At 39.1% G+C, this 18471-nt stretch overlaps 1 protein-coding gene across 15 annotated transcripts in view; it reads right to left on the bottom strand.

The window, feature by feature from the left end:
* Positions 1-18471, bottom strand: part of COL6A6 (collagen type VI alpha 6 chain) — a 160323-nt gene that overhangs the window by 26913 nt on the left and 114939 nt on the right. For 13 of the 15 annotated variants that reach the window (XR_924103.3, XM_017005713.3, XM_017005711.3 and 10 more), the window contains 7 exons: positions 15505-15540; positions 14369-14431; positions 8416-8478; positions 7263-7298; positions 7107-7143; positions 5128-5139; positions 568-1061 (listed from right to left, as the gene is read on the bottom strand). Coding sequence is in view for 14 of the 15 variants with exons in the window: in XM_017005713.3 (XP_016861202.1) it covers positions 568-1061; positions 5128-5139; positions 7107-7143; positions 7263-7298; positions 8416-8478; positions 14369-14431; positions 15505-15540 (741 nt within the window). In the remaining variant the exon portion in view is untranslated. Of the gene's footprint in view, positions 1-567; positions 1062-5127; positions 5140-7106; positions 7144-7262; positions 7299-8415; positions 8479-10639; positions 11752-14368; positions 14432-15504; positions 15541-18471 lie in introns of those variants that run through there. The other 2 variants (XM_011512431.3, XM_017005716.2) reach the window with 2 other exon arrangements.

Below are 18471 nucleotides of genomic sequence, written 5' to 3'. Positions count from 1 at the left end.
CAGGGAATTTATTTAGGAATGCAACACATTTGAGATTTTACTCCTCAAGCTAAGAAGCTATAACTGCAATGGCTTTTCCTTTATAATTAGTGAAGTTATAAAATCAGCAAATTGGCTCTCATCACACAGCAACAATTACTACCCTAAGTGACATGTATGTTTACCGGCCTCCTGATTCAGTATCTTTAGATTCAGAGGCAACTCAAAGAGTAGCTTGGGGAAGCACTAGAACAGCAAATTTGGAGTAAAGTTCTGACACTGCCATTTCTTAGCTGTGGGAACCGTGAAAAGTGGCTTAACTTCTGCATGCTCAGTTTTCTCATCATCTATTTTATACATACTACTTGTGAAAATTAAACAGGTAAATAATAGACATTATCCCATTTAATAGAAAGAGCTTAACGTGTTCCCAGTACACAGTAAGAAATACTTATTCTACTCTGCCAATCCAGAATTTTTTAAACTTCCTAACAAATGGCCCTGATTTTGAAGGCAAGGTAGTATAGGGGCTTCTGAATACAGGCAAGATAAGTAAGAATTGTCATGTGAAAGGTTTCATCCTCATACCGCAAATGCGCGCCTGACCGAGGGCACGTTGCTGAAAGTGATCACCACGGGAATGATTTCAAGCGCGCCGAACTCCATGGCAGCCGTGGTGATGGAGTGGGCATCCGCGGACTGACCGCTGCTGAAAAATGTGGCGATTTTTCTCGTGTGTGCCCCCGGAAGCGTCCGCTTGAAGACATTCCTGGAAATAAACCGCATTGCTCTGCCAATCTCCCTGCTGGCAGAGGATCTCTCATAAGGAATAGTTTCAATTTCTCTGAGAAGTTGACTCTTCTTGTAGGCGTCTGAGAAGCGCACAAGGTGCCTGGCGTGGGAGTTATAGGAGAGGATGGCGATGTGCGCTCCCACGGGGCAGCTGTTCTCCCGGACCTTAATGTCTCTCACCAGGAAAGCCATCATCTCCTTCATCCGCTCAAATTCCTGCTCAGTGACATCCCGGGAGTGGTCCAGGGCAAACACCAACTCGGTTGGGTGCACTGGGCATTCCGGTTTTCCTAAAAGACCATATCCCTTAACACATAGCATCCTTATTTAAAAAAAAAAAAAGATACATAGAAGGCAAAGTAATTTTAAATGTTAAGCATTCAAATACTTAAAGAGAATAATTTAAGTATTAAAACAAACATGTAAAATATATTTAAATCTTGAATAATTATAGATGTTATTCCAAAAGCTGAGTCTGCTCTTTTGAATCAAGCACAAAAGGAAAACATCTGGAATTCAGTTTTATTTTATATGAAATGTTAAAGTTCATTATCAAATTCCTTCTAAACAATAGAGAGCTCCTGGAAATACCCTTCACCTGCAGAGACTCGATCAAAAGTATCAAGTTTTGTTGCTGGAACTTCACTCAGTTAAACACATTTCTTTTTTTACTTAATAAGGAAATGTAATAAGAGTTAAAAAGGAAAGGCTGTGAAAGCTCTGATAATTTTAGAAAAATTGGAAGAAAACTGACATAATTTACAGAGCAAAGAATGAGACGCAAAGAGAGTAGGCAATACAGGGTAGAGTTTAGCGCCCTGGCCCAATCACTAACCAGCCATGTGACCCTGTCTGAATTACTCATCCTGTCTGTGCCTCAGTTTCTTCATCTGTAAAATGTGAGTCATAACATCACCTGCTACATAGGCCTGAGGTGAGCATTAAATGAATCAGCACAGGTAAAGTACTTAGAATAACAGAACCTGGCACATAGTAGGTGCTCAATAAATGTCAACCATTGCTGTTATAATTATCATTCCAGACTTTTTCATTGTGAGAAATACATCACTAAAAGGAGACTGAGGAAAGCTTTAACAGATACATTTTTGTTTAACAGTTACAAATGCAAGTTTACTCAATAAATATGCCTTATTACTTAGAGAAACTGATTATGGTTGGTAAACTCTACTGTAAGTGTTAATTGCATATTTATGCATCCATACTCATTGGTTCCAAATCATTCTAATTTCGGTACTTTGCACTTGTCACAGTTGATAACTTATTTTTGATTATCTGATTAATGTTCATTTATCCTAGTTTATGATGCATGGATAGGAAGAGGATCTGCTGACCTTCTAAGTTATTAGTCCCTGCCATATATCAGATATCTAACAAATGCTGAATGAATGAAAAAGAGCTCAACAAAGAGCAGTTCTTTGCAACAGGTATAGAAATAACAAAAGTTTAATAATACGTGAGATGCCTAGTGCTGGGATTTGGTTGGTAAAAGGACACCCCAGTGATGTGTTTCTCTTGGAGAGGTGCCTCCTCTCATTCAGATATCAGCAAGTCAGATTCAGAGATAATAAACACAGCAAAGACCATCTTGCTTTACAACAAGCTCAGGAACTCAGACTTGCTGGGGCTCACGTAGGCTGGCAAGGAGACATCCCTCTGCCATGGGCCAACTGGGCCTTGCCCACCTTAGTGCTAAACTATGACCTCCTCCCGTCCTTGACTCCATGTCCTTCAAAGGCAAAAGAAGTACCAGTGAGAATAAATGTTCAAACCCAAATCAAACTGTTCATCTCGATGGAGACAGGAAATCATGTATTAGTCTCTAAGTCTAAATTACTGGGCTGAACAGATTTTTATAAATGGACGTGTCACTTTTATCGTTTAAAAAAGTCAGTAGAACTAAACATGAAAGTGATTCTTCTGATTTTTTGGGGGGTGGTTATTTGCACATGGAAACAACAACAAAAATGCTTCAGATACAATTTAGAGAGAAGGGTGGGTGAAGGTTCACAGCACTGGCTGAAGATATGAAAAAAAAATTCAAGTTTTTTTAGGGGAAAAACCTAAGGACTAATTCAGCTTCCAAAACACAAGCCCTAAAAACCAAGCAAGCTGCCAGGAATCCCAAGGATTCTGAAGAAGCCTAGGCTGGATGGCAGTGGTACCTAGGAGGCCCTCCTCAAAAAGGGAAGGATTGCCATGTGCGGTTCCCCAACTAACATGGCTCTGTGACCTCACACTATGTACTGAGGACTGCTACTTGCCACAGAGGAGGTGAAAAAAAGAACAGGGAGGCAAGGATCAGCCCAAACCACTGCCATGTAACCTAAACACAACACTGATGGTCCTTATCCAGGTCGCCACCATATTTGCCTGAATACTACAGTCCTCTCTAAACTAGGCCTTTGGCTTTGACATTTCCTACCCTTCACCCTTGCCACAATCCACTCTCCCCATAGCAGCCCAAGTAATATTTTAAAATCAGATCATGCTCCTCCCCTACATACTTTCAACATACTCTTTAATACCCACCCCATCACAACTCAAATAAAATCCAGCCTCCTTATAATGTGCAAAGCTCAGCTTGCTCTGGCCTTTGCCTATTCCCCATGTTTTTATGCACTACTCTCCCCCTCCCTATGTCTCAACCTTGTTGGGCTCCATCAGTTCCTAGGAAATACCCAGGTCTGTTCTGTTTCATGGCCTTTGCACTTAAAGTTCCCTATGCCCAGCTCTTGAAAGATGGCTCCTTTGGTTTTTTTTGTTTGAGACGGAGTCTCACACTATCACCCGGGCTGGAATGCAGTGGTGTGATCTCGGCTCACTGCAACCTCTGCCTCCCAGGTTCAGGTGATTCTCCTGCCTCAGCCTCCCAAGCAGCTGGGATTACAGGCATGTGCCACCACGCCCAGCTAATTTTTTGTATTTTTAGTAGAGATGGGGTTTCACTATGTTGGCCAGGCTGGTCTCAAACTCCTGACCTCGTGATCTGCCTGCCTCGGGCTCCCAAGTGCTGGGATTACAGGCGTGAGCCACCGCGCCCAGCCAAAAGACAGCTCCTTTGTGTTCTTCAGTCTAAACTTTAATTTCACTGCCCCCAAAAAGAGCCCTCTGTCCAAAAACATCTCCCCCCCTTACATTATCCCAGGACACAGCATCCTATGCTTTATCTCTTTCTATTTTTTATTTTATTATTATTATACTTTAAGTTTTAGGGCACATGTGCACAATGTGCAGGTTATCTCTTTCAAATAGCACCTAATGTGCTGGGCTTCCCTTTGTTTATTTGTTTGTGATCTGGATCCTCCATAAGAATGGAAGTTTCTGAGCACAGGAAGCAGATTCATTATTCAACTCTGTATCCCTAATGCCTACTACACATACTGGCACTTACTAGGCTTTCAACAAATATTCTTAAATGCATGGATAAGCAATCAGAGGACATGGGTTTGTGGGCTTATACAAAAGGTAAAAGTGTATAAATGTATAAGAGGGTGATAAGTTTACAGAAAAACATCATGTAAGAAGCATTTGTAAGATACCTGAAAACTAGCACTGAAAAATATGAAGCCAACTTGATAATTAACATTAGGCATGAGCTCCATGGATTCTGGCATTATCTGAGTTGCACATTCCACTTACTTGCTATCTGATCATCCCCACTTTTATTCTGCCTTCTGCATCTTAATCCCTAATTAACCACTGGATGACAGAGATGATATGACACAGGGAGAAAATGAAGGGAGTAAGAAATACTATTTTTGGCCAGGCACAGTGGCTCACACCTGTAATCCCAGCACTTTGAGATGCCAAAGCAGGTGGATCACTTGAGCCCAGGAGTTCAGGACCAGCCTGGGCAACATGGCAAAACCCTGCCTCTACAAAAAATACAAAAATTAGTCAAGCATGATGGCATGTGCCTGTAGTCCCAACTACTCCGGAGGTTGAAGTGGAAGGATCACTTGAGCCCAGAAGGTCAAGAATGCAATGAACAGTGATCAGCCTGTGTGACAGAGCATGTCTAAAAAAAACCCCAACATATTTTTAAAACCTTTAAAAGCAAGGTGAATGGTGATGTTAGTCATTAAGATATTAATATCTTAATGATTTTTTATTAATAAAAAAGCAAATCGCTTGGTTGAGAAATAGCTGTGAAGCTCAGCTACAGCTGAGTGATTTATTGGAGGCAAGACTCTGCTACCAGTATGAGGCAGCAGCAAAGAAAGCCCAGATAAAATTTGTGTCATTTGGAAGCCAATACATTGCTCTAACTCATCTTTCCAGATGTATGACATTTTAGAGCTTGATTAAAGCATGCTGTAAATAAAGATTACTCACCATGCCTGCCAGCTGGGGAAGAAGAACAAAGGAGATTGGATTATTATTTGGTAGGAGAAGAGAGTTCTGTATCGTGCAGGAAAGAAAGGTTCTATCCTGTCTGCTTTTTGTAGATGACTCAAAAATCAAGGCAACAGAGTTTGGAGAAAATGCAGACAGAGTCTAACATCTTGGTAAAAGCACTATTCTTTCCAAAGGGAAGAGGATGTGAGAAATGGGACAACATACAGCCATAAATCAGCGGCCTGCAGCCAGCTGTCAAGAAACAAAGACTTTTTGCCTGGGAGGGAAAATGACATTGCAGGGAGGTGCGCTGAATTTGGAAAGCTGAAAGATCCAACCTCTCTTTACTCTAAATTTTTCCCATGTAGATATCTATAACTATCATTTATATATATGTACACACATACACACAAATGTATCTATATCTTTGTATAGTATATATGTGTATACTATATGTATATTATATGCATATTTATATGTTATGTAAGTATCAGAGGTGGAGTTACTCTGAATTAAATGAACACTTGCTTTAGACCTGTACTGTTCAACATGGCAGCCACAAGCCACATGCAGCTATTAAAATTAATTAGAATTAAATAAAAATTCAGCTTCTCAGTTGCACTAGCCACATTTGAAATGCTCAAAGCCACATGTGTCTTGTGGCTACTGTACTGGACATCACAGGGAACACTTCCATCACTGCAGAAACTTCTATTGGACAATGCTGCTTTAGACTTCTCTCTTGCAGGGGTCCCCCCTTGCAATGCCTTTCCTGGCAGGAACCCTAGCCATGTTGTTCGCACAATCACATACTCTTATAAAATAAAATATGCAAAAGTTAATGGTTATGATTTCTTTTTTGTTCTAAATAACACTTACTTTTGAAATACCTTTGCACCCACTTTTAGATTTGCGATTTTTTATGGAGTCCCTTAAATTTTAAAATATCAGGTCTCAATATACTTGGATTTGCCCTTGAGTCATTACAATTTACATGGTTCCTATGTCATAAAACCCACCGCACTAACTGAGCCCCAAAACAACCCATCTTCATGACTCAATGTATACATGTGTTTTGATTCCCATCATGGTTCTATTCTGCTACAAAAAGACAGAGTTCCAATAGACACTGCATTCAAAGTTTTTAAATGTCTGTCTTTGAGACCAATGTTCTCTACTGAAATAGGCTCTAATTTATTTTTCTTCCCCCAAAATATCTGGAGGAAACTTTTGGCTCCTCTTTTCTGTCATATTGTTATTTGGAAAGTCATTATGCATTTGTAGATGAACACTGAAGAGTCAACTCTCTCCTAATCTTGCACATGAAATTTTTTTTGATGGTATCAACACATATTTTGATAGAACAAGCTGTTAGAAAGGTTTAAAACAAATTCTAATCAGCATTTGCCAAATCAAAATGTCATTTTGATTTTAAAATTTTGAGAAAGAAAAAATATTGGCAGAATGAGTATTACTATGAATTTTTAAAGCAAATCAATCAGTCCAACAAAAAATAATCAAACATATCTTCCCGGGAAAGGAATAACAAACAATAAACCAAAGTCAGGACTCGCACCCACCAGGACACCCTATTATCACGGCTGCTTCTTTCATGCCAGGTGAATTCAATTCTGTCAGTTACTGTCAGGCATTAATAATCATCTTTTAAAAAGTTCCGTGTGACTCTCAAGTGATTGATTTCACTATTAGGTGAATTCAGACATCAAATCTCAATTTTCTTTAGATTAAAAGCACTCAATAGATTATTTCTTACTGCTTGACATGGGTTTCAATAGACATGATAGCAACCAGAGAGGGAGTTAAAAGTCACCAGTCTATGCTGACTCAAAAATACATGCAGTGACATCTCCAATTTTAAGAAATTGGCTGGTGAATTCAATTCTGAGTGTAGGTTTCTCTGCTTTTCTTGTATGAATGCTGACAACTTGGGTGATCATTTTAAGCAGGGTACTTACGACTGCGGTCTCGCACATACTGAATGAGCTCACATGTCTGCAGTTCGAAAATAAAACAGAAACAATTAAACAACAAACTGCTAGGCCCTGAGGTTTAAAAATAAGTAAATTGAATGGAGCACTCAGAGCACTCTGTTGTAGTCGGGAGATACGTACAGAAAATGAAGCCAAGCCTTTGGCTCCTTTCACACCCTAGGAAAACAAACAAAACATTGTTTTAATGCCTCTAGACATACACATCAGTAGCCAGTGTGCACCAACATTGCCCTCAGAAAGTGATAACTTTTAAAAGTTTTATTCTCATTAAATTGTAAGAGGCAAAAAAGAATGCAGGTAGGTACTCATTACCTAATTAACAGTAACATTCTGGAAAGAACAAACTTTAAGCAGCAAGCTTGGTGCACACAAGCCTTGAGAGGCCGCTTTCCTCCGGGTCCATCTCTGGCTAACAAGCATTGTCCAGAATTACCAGGATGGAGCTGACAACCTGACACTTGCCGCAGAGCTCTGGAGCACGCCTACGCCTCAGGACTAGCTAAAGTGAGCCACACATGTGCAGTTGCCCTCTTTCATAGCAGAAGTTTCAAGGTCTTCAACCCCCATTCTTTGACTGAGCCACTGAACAGCAGCCAGAGCTGAACCTTAATCTGTTCCCATCATTTGTTAGCTGACAAAATGATCGGACTCAATTGAACATCTGGAAAGGTTATCTCAACTACCTTCCCAAAACAAAAAATACACACACACACACACACACACACACACACACACACACACACATATAATCTGTCAGAGTTTGGGATAGAAGAACAAATGGAACTGGTTTTAATCTTATGTGTTCAATCCCATCTTCAGAAGAAGAGGAGTCTGGCTTCTTTCAAAGAGAGACACCCAAGAAAAAAATGCAACAGAGCCCCCCCTGACCTCCTGAAGCAAATAAGTTCCATGTGAATGCAACATTGATCACAGTCACTATTTATTTCCTTTCACTTCCATTCATCCAATGATCATTTATTACATATAGAAAGATTGAACAGATACAGAATATGATAATTGAGAAATACCATTTTAGTTTAAGTACTTTTGGTTTCCTCCTTCAATTTCCCCTCTCTCTCAAGAGATGTATTTAATCAGTATTTTTTCACCTCTAAATATTTAATCAGTATTTTCTCCCCCATAAAGGTGGGAAAAAAGTGGCCAAGAAGCAGAGACAGAAGGCATGCACATTTGGACAATGAAGATTTCATGCACTGACTTTTTTTTTTTTAATGGAAAAGGACCTGCTGTGGTTTATAGTTTTTCTACTTACCTTACGTCCAGGAGGTCCTGGTTCCCCAGGGGATCCCATCTCTCCTGGAAGCCCAGCAGATATCTCAAAGGAGAATTTATTTTAAAATTGTATTTATACATATATGTATGTGTGTGTGTAAATTCAAATTTTAAAAAATTAAAATTCAAAGGTGAAAATTCAAAAGTGAAAATTTCACTTTTATTTTAGAAAATTGAGAGTTTTCCAAAAAACATAAAGAAGGAAAAAATATTCCCAGCAATCCCTTCTTCCCCAAATAATCCTCATTAACATTTTGATGTCTTTTCTTATTTTTTTTGGAATTAAGACATATATTCCTTTTTAAAACTCATTTGAATCATACTTTTCTCTGTTACCTTTTAAACTAAATATATCTCTGGACATTTTCAGTTAGTAAACATTATTTGGCAAAATCATTTTTCACAGCTGCATAGTATCCCATCACATGGTTGTACCATGATTTAGTTAGTCCCTTACTGTTTGTTGTTGTAACAGGCAATAGATAATTTAGTTAGTCCCTTACTGTTTGTTGCTGCAATAGGCAACAGGTAATAGGACCCCCACCCACCAGGACACCCTATTATCACAGCTGCTTCTTCCATACCAGGTGAATTCAATTCTGTCAGTTACTGTCAGGCATTAATAATCATCTTTTAAAAAGTTCCGTGTGACTCTCAAGTGATTGATTTCACTATTAGGTGATGCTATTATAAGGCAATGCTATTATAAAGTTATATGCATAATTCTGATTATTTCCTTAGGGAAGATTGCTAGGACTAGAATTGCTGGTCAAAGGAAAACTTTTTATCTAAATGGAGTGGTAGGTAACTAAACTGAAAAAACAAAAAGCAAAAAGTCTAGAAAAACAAAATTGAAATACAAAAACTTTTAAAACAACAGAAACACAATCATTATTTGGAAATATTGTAATGAAATGGGGAATAACAGCAACAAAAACAGTTGTTATCTGCTTACTAGATGTCAGAAATATTTTCACGTGCATTCAACAATAAGTTTATCATAAAGCTAGGACTTAGTTTAAAAATTGGAATATTTCTTTCTTCATTCAAAATGCCACAGGATTTACAACATTTACAGGAATAAAAAATGAAGTTTAAAATCAACTTAATTTGTAAAAGCATTACCTATAAAACAGTAAATAATGATTGATATCCTTTGGGCATTCCAATGATATTGACAGTGTGCTTGGTTGAGTGAAAAATAAAATATTTTTATTTAGAAGATAAAGGTTAACCTCCAAGGAGAAAATAGCAGATTGAGTACATATATTTACTTTCATTCCTTTCCAATATCTTACTAAAATGACAGTAAGTAGATTATTTTAAAGGCAAAAAACAATGGTGGGGAGAATGAAAAAGGAGATGACAGCCATAAAATGTGAATCTGGAAAGCAAATGTGTAAGTGTTAAATGACTGAACAGACCTGAGAAAGTTGAATCCTAAGCCAGCAGCAGGGAAAGCCAAGAACCAATGTGTTTTATATCATACGTCCCAGAAGGCTGAGGATTTGGCAGCACCGGGAACCTCCAGAAGTGGAGGTGAGGGAAAAAGGTGAAGTAAAGATGTTTAGTTGAAAATCATTTTAGGAATCTCCAAATCTCCTCTCTATTCTCAAGGGTTGGGTGAATGTCCCTTTTCCCACCCTAGCAACAAAGAGAGGTAAAACCAAGGTGGGACTCCAGGCTGAGTTGAGAACCTACAGTATCTGAGACAGGGAGAGTAAATGAGGGTATGTACAGTAAATGTGTGAGTCTCCAGCTCTCTTTTTCTATATGGCTCCTAGAAAGCTGGCAGCCAGACCTTTACTCTCCAGGTAGGAAACTGTAAGAAGTTTTTTCAGGAGAACTTCACTAGACAAAGAAGAAAGACCAAAAGATATTGATTTCAGAGGTTTGCTAAACAAAGAATTTAGCTAGATCACTCTCTTTGGGAAACCGGTAGTTGACAAGCCCCACTCATGTTCTCAGAGCTTCCAATCAGTCATTTTTTTTTTTTTTTTTTTTTGAGACAGGATCTCAGTCTCACCCAGGCTCGAATGCAGTAGTGCAATCTTAGCTCAATGCAGCCAAGACTTTCTGGGCTCAGGTGATCCTCACACCTCAGCCCCCTGGTAGCTGGGGCTACAGGTACATGCCACCACGCGTGGCTAATTTTTGTATTTTTTGTAGAGATGGGGTTTGGCCATGTTGCTCAGGCTGGTCTCAAACTGCTGGGCTGAAGCAATCTGCCTGCTTAGGCCTCCCAGAGTGCTGGGATGATAGGCGTGAGCCACCGCACCTGACCCCAATCAGTCTTTTTGTCTTCAATTCTTAAATATGAAGAAATAGCTCATTCCTGAAAAATCTGAGTAATAGAGTTCAAAACAGAAAGGAAAATAAAATGCAGGAAACAGACTATGTTGGGCAAAAAAGACAAAAATATTTATATTTTCAGAAAGGTAAGATATTTTAATCATGAAACAAAAACAGTATGCTATAAAAAGGAACATTCAGAGAACAATAACAAGCTCTTGAAAATTCAAGTATGAAACACTGTAAGATAAACTCAACGAACTCTCCCAGAAAGTAGAGCAAAAAGACAAAAAGCTGGACGACAGAACAGAAAAAATAAGAAAATTAATACTAATACACCCAATAATAGGTATTTTATAAATAGGGAATAGAGAACATAAAGGGCAAGAAATCATCAAAATAATTGACCAACACTTCTTTGGAGGACACATATTTCCAGGCTCCTAGTGCCTATGAAGGACCTACCTAATGCCCAGGAAAATGGATAAAAATGGACATCAACTCATAAAACCCAGGAAATATCAAAACACTGCAGACAGAGAAATTATGCAATAAGGTGCCAGAGAGAGAACACTGGCCACATCAGGAATCAGAATGGCTTTGGGCTTCCCCAAGTAACAAAAGAAGTTAGAAATAATGGAGGAATGACAGCCTTCAAAATTCTGAGAAATTAATTCCAACCCAGAACTGTTGGAATATCCAATCCAAAATATCCAATCACATCTCAAGGTACTACAAATCCTTTCAGATGTTAGCTGTTTCAAAAACTATACCTTTCATTCACCCCTTCTTAGCAGGCTACTGGATGAGTTTTCCACGAAACAAGGGAGAAATCCAACAAGAGGAGTCTGAGAATAAGAATGAGAAGCAGAGATCCAACGCAGAAGAGAGGCAAAGGGAAGGGTGAAGGTGAAGGACAATTGCAGTATGGCAGCTGGGCACCAGCCACAGACGAACCTCCATCAGGTGGGTCAGGTTGGAAGGCTCTGCGTTGGGATTAAGTTGGAGAGAACACTTGCCTCATCTAAATGTTTTCAGACAGGATTTAGATAAGGGAAAATCAAGAAAGGTACATCAGCAACTTTTATAGCAGGAGGAATCAGTTCATAATGCTTAAAATTTATAAATCAAAAAAGTAAGAAGGTAAGTATGATATTTAGAGGCATATTGTCAATTCTGAAACAAATCAGTTCAGAAGTGACAGCTGTTGTTTCTGGGGAGAAGGAAATGGGAGTGAGTGAGGGGGTGAAGGATTTTTTTTTTTTTAATATAACAAACTTTGTTATTTGACTCTCTAAACCAGTGGTTCTTAGCAAGGGAGAATTTTGACTCCTTTTTTTCCCTGGGACATATGGCAATGTCTGAAGATGTTTTTGATTGTCATAACCTGGGGTGTGGGTAGGACAGAGGGTAGTTGATGCTGGAATCTAGTGGGTAGGTGCCAAGGATGTGGATAAACATTCTACAAGGCACAGGACAGCCCCTCAACAAAGCCTTATCCAGCCCAAAATGTCAACAGTGCTGATATGGAGAAACCCTGCTTTAAACTATGTGCGTGCTTTTAAAGGTGGGAAAAAGAAAAACAAAATGCATACAAACATACATATATACACAAAATAAAACAGGTTAAAAATCATAGCAAAATTTAAAAAATGTTTTTTGAGGAAAAAAAAATCAAGGTGAAGATTTAGAGAATTTAAACAAGGAGTATAATCATTCAAAGAGAACTGACGAAGCATTCAGAATTTAAGTTGAAGTTTTACCAAAATCTTCCAATAGAAACTTCAGCTCTTTTAGAGGGAAAACCTGGATATTTTCAATGTCTAAACTTCAACTTCAAATCCAAAAACACTAATGTAAAGCTGGAAAAAGTAGCTGGGTGGGTGGAAAGAGCAAGTTAAGAACAGTGATAAATTGTCCAAAATGGAGAAAAAAAAATTTTCAAACATTTTCAAAGGCCAACAGAAAAAGTTTATGTTTCCCATTCGTTTATTGTCTTTAAAAATGAATAATGTGACTTTGTGGGGAGGGATCCAACCATGAACTTGTTAGCGTGCTTCTGATGTTCAAGGTTAAACTTCTTAATTAATAAGCCAAGGGAAATAAATGATCCAGAGATAGTTCAATGCAGATGACATCTGGATTAATTTGAAAGTCTTTTCCAATTATTTTTCTAATTATATCTGTCTTCATCTTTTTTTTTTAGAGCATAATGTTAATGGATAGCCATCCAAAAACATGTATGAGGACAAGCATTATAGGTGGGAAGCAGTTCTCATTGGAGGAGGGGGAGGGGGAGGGAGAGAGGGGGAGGGAGAGAAGGGGAGGGGGAGGGGGAGGGAGAGAAGGGGGAGGGGGAGGGAGAGGAAGGGGAGGGGGAAGGAGAGGAGGGGGAGGGAGAGGAAGGGGAGGGAGAGGAAGGGGAGAGAGAGGGGGACAAAGGGCAGGGGAGGGGGAGGGGGAGGGGGAAGGGGAGGGGAGGGGGAGGGGAGGAAGGGGGAGGAAGGGGAGGGGGAGGGGGAGGAAGGGGAAGGGAAGGAAGGGGAGGGGGGGAGGAGGAAGGGGAGGGGGAGGGGAGGAGGAAGGGGAGGGGGAGGGGAGGGGGAGGGGAGGGGAGGAGGAAGGGGAGGGGGAGGGGAGGGGAGGAGGAAGGGGAGGGGGAAGGGGAGGAAGAGGCAGAAGAAGAGGAGTTTCCTTATTTTGTACCCCTAAAACCTACACAAGTAATATCTATACATAAAGATCGTATAGTTTGTAGAAACAAAAATAGATCAGAGCAAAATTAGCTATGAAGACAAAACTGGAAAACCATTTCAAGTATACATTTTTATCAGACTTTTAAAATTCTTGCTAATTGACATGATAAATTAAGACCAGTTTGCCTGATCAGTGCTGTTCTGAAGAAAAAAGATGATCACTGTATCAAGAGACAATTATCTTAGGACTGTCTTTTAAAAAACTAAAACAGCATTCTCACTTATACACAGTCTAAGATATATAGAGAGTCAGCAAATGCAAGAAATCCATTCTTAATCCACAGGAACCCAAGGCAAGCCTACAGGATGAATTGTACTGGAGACCTGTGTTTATTCCAAGTGACTCAAAGCACTAGGCAATATCTAAGAACCTCTACAGAATAAAGACCTACTCAGTTACACAGTAAGCAAACTTTCTCACAAAGCTCAAGAGATAACCTCCTTGAGCTAAATGAGAAGACCTTTCTGCATGTATCTCATTAAAAGTAGATTAACAAAACCTGAATAGTGAAGACAAGATGCCAGTGGGCATTAGGTTGCAGTAAACCTGCCAGGGAGACAGGATTAAACTAACTACATTTTGGCAGTGTAAAAGCTGTTTTGAATCACAAGGATTTCTTTTAAAAAATCTTATTACCAGTGTTAAGTATGGTACCCTGGCAGCTAAAACAGGTGAACTTGCTCACTAAAAGCAAACAGTTCATTGTTTTTGCACTGGCATTGAGAGATGACTATCCATTCCCCTTCCCCAAGTTTGCCTTAATAGAAAACACATGCATTTTGCAAGTCACTGGTAACAAAAGACAACTCAAATTATTGTAAATGCACAAAGGAGGACTTCCCAATGTAGTGAGGTTGTCAGCAATTGGAATCTAAGAAGCTTACCATTTTGCCTCTAGCTCCCTTCAGCCCAGTCTCTCCTGGACCACCAGGGTCCCCAATCTCACCCTAAATACATTTATTAAAGTAAAATAGTTATTAAAATCAAACATATACATATGTAACATATTTGCATCTTTAAACTGATTCTAACATGAAGACATTTTTCGTATGCATTTTTAACAGTCATCTTTGAAGAGTGTGAGTGTGTGTGTTTCCATTTGTGTAACTCTCTACATAGCACACTGCGTCAGCATTGTTTCACTCTGCTGTCTCCCCAGTGAGAACACTGGCTCTTTGGAGAAATGAACTTTGTTCTTTATTTTATCCTCTGACTCTATCATAGGACCTGGCATTTACTGAGTTCAGTAAGGGTTTCTAGAAAAAGTGGTATCTCCAAGGTAGAAGATGTCATTGCTAACTAGTTATCTAAAGATGATTTATAAACATATTGGGAAAACTGAGACAGGTAAAATCAAATAACTCTTATTTTCTTTACATTACACTTTTCTTTCTACTTTTATTTTTTTTTGGAGACAGAGTCTCACTGTGTCACCCAAGCTGGAGTGCAGTGGAGAGATCTCAGCTTACTATAACCTCCATCTCCTGGGTTCAAGTGATCCTCCCACCTTAGGCTCCTGAGTAGCTGGGACTACAGGCATGCACCACCACGCCTAGCTAATTTTTGTATTTTTCGTAGAGATGGGGTTTTGCCATGTTGGCCAGGCTGGTCTCGAATCCCTGACTTCAAGTGATCCACCTGCCTTGGCCTCCCAAAGTGCTGGGATTACAGGCATGAGCCACCACGCCTGGCCTTACATTATACTTTTCTTTCAGTAAATAAGAAAATATATATGATAGAGGGAAGGAGTAAATTTGAGGAAAAAATTTTAAAAGGATAAGTTTTCTATCTTCTCATACTAATTAAAAAACTAGAAATACTTTTTAAGCCTTACACTCCTAAACAAATGTATAATCTTAAAAATTGAAAAAATATTGGTCTATTTCTTTCTTCCCTCCTTCTCCGCACAAAGGTAGGACATTTATTTATCATTAACTGTTCTTCTACTGGCCTAGGATACATTTCATAAACCCCAGGAGTATTTCTGACTGATCTCTAGTTACTAGGAAGCACACGGTACCTTAGGTCCACTTTCTCCAGGGAATCCTTCTTGTCCCTGTAATGGACAGGAGGAAAGATTTATACAGGCACACATCACCCAATGAAGTCTACATTGATTTTCAATTTACCTGCTGCCCTGTGTAGTTTTGGTACCTCTGAATTAAGGAAGGGCCAAAACAATTGAAATCTGGAAGTGAAATAGCAGTATTTGAGAAACAAACTAAATTATAAGTTAAAGTATTTAAGGGTTTCATCAACATATCATAACTACCTAGGTGGCTAAAAGTATACATCTGAAGAGTTACAATTCGGCTTTCCTTCTTTTGTATGCATATAACCGCATAGGTGGTCATTTGGCCATGTGTCTCTGACACGATCTTTTTTTTTTTTTTTTTTTTTTTTATTTATTTATTTATTTATTTATTTATTTATTTTTTTTTTTAACATTTTATAGCTTGAGATTTATTTTAAGAAATCAACTGCTATTTCACGGATTTGACAAAGGAAAGTAATATTGACAAACTGTTTCCCTGAAATGCTGCTACAGGGATTTAGAATGTAACTGGCATTTTTTTTTTTTTTTTTTTTTTTTATTATACTCTAAGTTTTAGGGTACATGTGCACATTGTGCAGGTTAGTTACATATGTATACATGTGCCATGCTGGTGCGCTGCACCCACTAATGTGTCATCTAGCATTAGGTATATCTCCCAATGCTATCCCTCCCCCCTCCCCCGACCCCACCACAGTCCCCAGAGTGTGATATTCCCCTTCCTGTGTCCATGTGATCTCATTGTTCAATTCCCACCTATGAGTGAGAATATGCGGTGTTTGGTTTTTTGTTCTTGCGATAGTTTACTGAGAATGATGGTTTCCAATTTCATCCATGTCCCTACAAAGGATATGAACTCATCATTTTTTATGGCTGCATAGTATTCCATGGTGTATATGTGCCACATTTTCTTAATCCAGTCTATCATTGTTGGACATTTGGGTTGGTTCCAAGTCTTTGCTATTGTGAATAGTGCCGCAATAAACATACGTGTGCATGTGTCTTTATAGCAGCATGATTTATACTCATTTGGGTATATACCCAGTAATGGGATGGCTGGGTCAAATGGTATTTCTAGTTCTAGATCCCTGAGGAATCGCCACACTGACTTCCACAATGGTTGAACTAGTTTACAGTCCCACCAACAGTGTAAAAGTGTTCCTATTTCTCCGCATCCTCTCCAGCACCTGTTGTTTCCTGACTTTTTAATGATTGCCATTCTAACTGGTGTGAGATGATATCTCATAGTGGTTTTGATTTGCATTTCTCTGATGGCCAGTGATGATGAGCATTTCTTCATGTGTTTTTTGGCTGCATAAATGTCTTCTTTTGAGAAGTGTCTGTTCATGTCCTTCGCCCACTTTTTGATGGGGTTGTTTGTTTTTTTCTTGTAAATTTGTTTGAGTTCATTGTAGATTCTGGATATTAGCCCTTTGTCAGATGAGTAGGTTGCAAAAATTTTCTCCCATGTTGTAGGTTGCCTGTTCACTCTGATGGTAGTTTCTTTTGCTGTGCAGAAGCTCTTTAGTTTAATTAGATCCCATTTGTCAATTTTGTCTTTTGTTGCCATTGCTTTTGGTGTTTTGGACATGAAGTCCTTGCCCACGCCTATGTCCTGAATGGTAATGCCTAGGTTTTCTTCTAGGGTTTTTATGGTTTTAGGTTTAACGTTTAAATCTTTAATCCATCTTGAATTGATTTTTGTATAAGGTGTAAGGAAGGGATCCAGTTTCAGCTTTCTACATATGGCTAGCCAGTTTTCCCAGCACCATTTATTAAACAGGGAATCCTTTCCCCATTGCTTGTTTTTCTCAGGTTTGTCAAAGATCAGATAGTTGTAGATATGCGGCATTATTTCTGAGGGCTCTGTTCTGTTCCATTGATCTATATCTCTGTTTTGGTACCAGTACCATGCTGTTTTGGTTACTGTAGCCTTGTAGTATAGTTTGAAGTCAGGTAGTGTGATGCCTCCAGCTTTGTTCTTTTGGCTTAGGATTGACTTGGCAATGCGGGCTCTTTTTTGGTTCCATATGAACTTTAAAGTAGTTTTTTCCAATTCTGTGAAGAAAGTCATTGGTAGCTTGATGGGGATGGCATTGAATCTGTAAATTACCTTGGGCAGTATGGCCATTTTCACGATATTGATTCTTCCTACCCATGAGCATGGAATGTTCTTCCATTTGTTTGTCTCCTCTTTTATTTCCTTGAGCAGTGGTTTGTAGTTCTCCTTGAAGAGGTCCTTCACATCCCTTGTAAGTTGGATTCCTAGGTATTTTATTCTCTTTGAAGCAATTGTGAATGGGAGTTCACTCATGATTTGGCTCTCTGTTTGTCTGTTGTTGGTGTATAAGAATGCTTGTGATTTTTGTACATTGATTTTGTATCCTGAGACTTTGCTGAAGTTGCTTATCAGCTTAAGGAGATTTTGGGCTGAGACGATGGGGTTTTCTAGATAAACAATCATGTCGTCTGCAAACAGGGACAATTTGACTTCCTCTTTTCCTAATTGAATACCCTTTATTTCCTTCTCCTGCCTGATTGCCCTGGCCAGAACTTCCAACACTATGTTGAATAGGAGCGGTGAGAGAGGGCATCCCTGTCTTGTGCCAGTTTTCAAAGGGAATGCTTCCAGTTTTTGCCCATTCAGTATGATATTGGCTGTGGGTTTGTCATAGATAGCTCTTATTATTTTGAAATACGTCCCATCAATACCTAATTTATTGAGAGTTTTTAGCATGAAGGGTTGTTGAATTTTGTCAAAGGCTTTTTCTGCATCTATTGAGATAATCATGTGGTTTTTGTCTTTGGCTCTGTTTATATGCTGGATTACATTTATTGATTTGCGTATATTGAACCAGCCTTGCATCCCAGGGATGAAGCCCACTTGATCATGGTGGATAAGCTTTTTGATGTGCTGCTGGATTCGGTTTGCCA

Source organism: Homo sapiens, chromosome 3 (assembly GCF_000001405.40).
Source record: "Homo sapiens chromosome 3, GRCh38.p14 Primary Assembly".
Lineage (NCBI taxonomy): Eukaryota > Metazoa > Chordata > Mammalia > Primates > Hominidae > Homo > Homo sapiens.
Note: the sequence above shows the minus strand (reverse complement) of the source record. Positions and strands in the feature narration are given on the sequence as shown.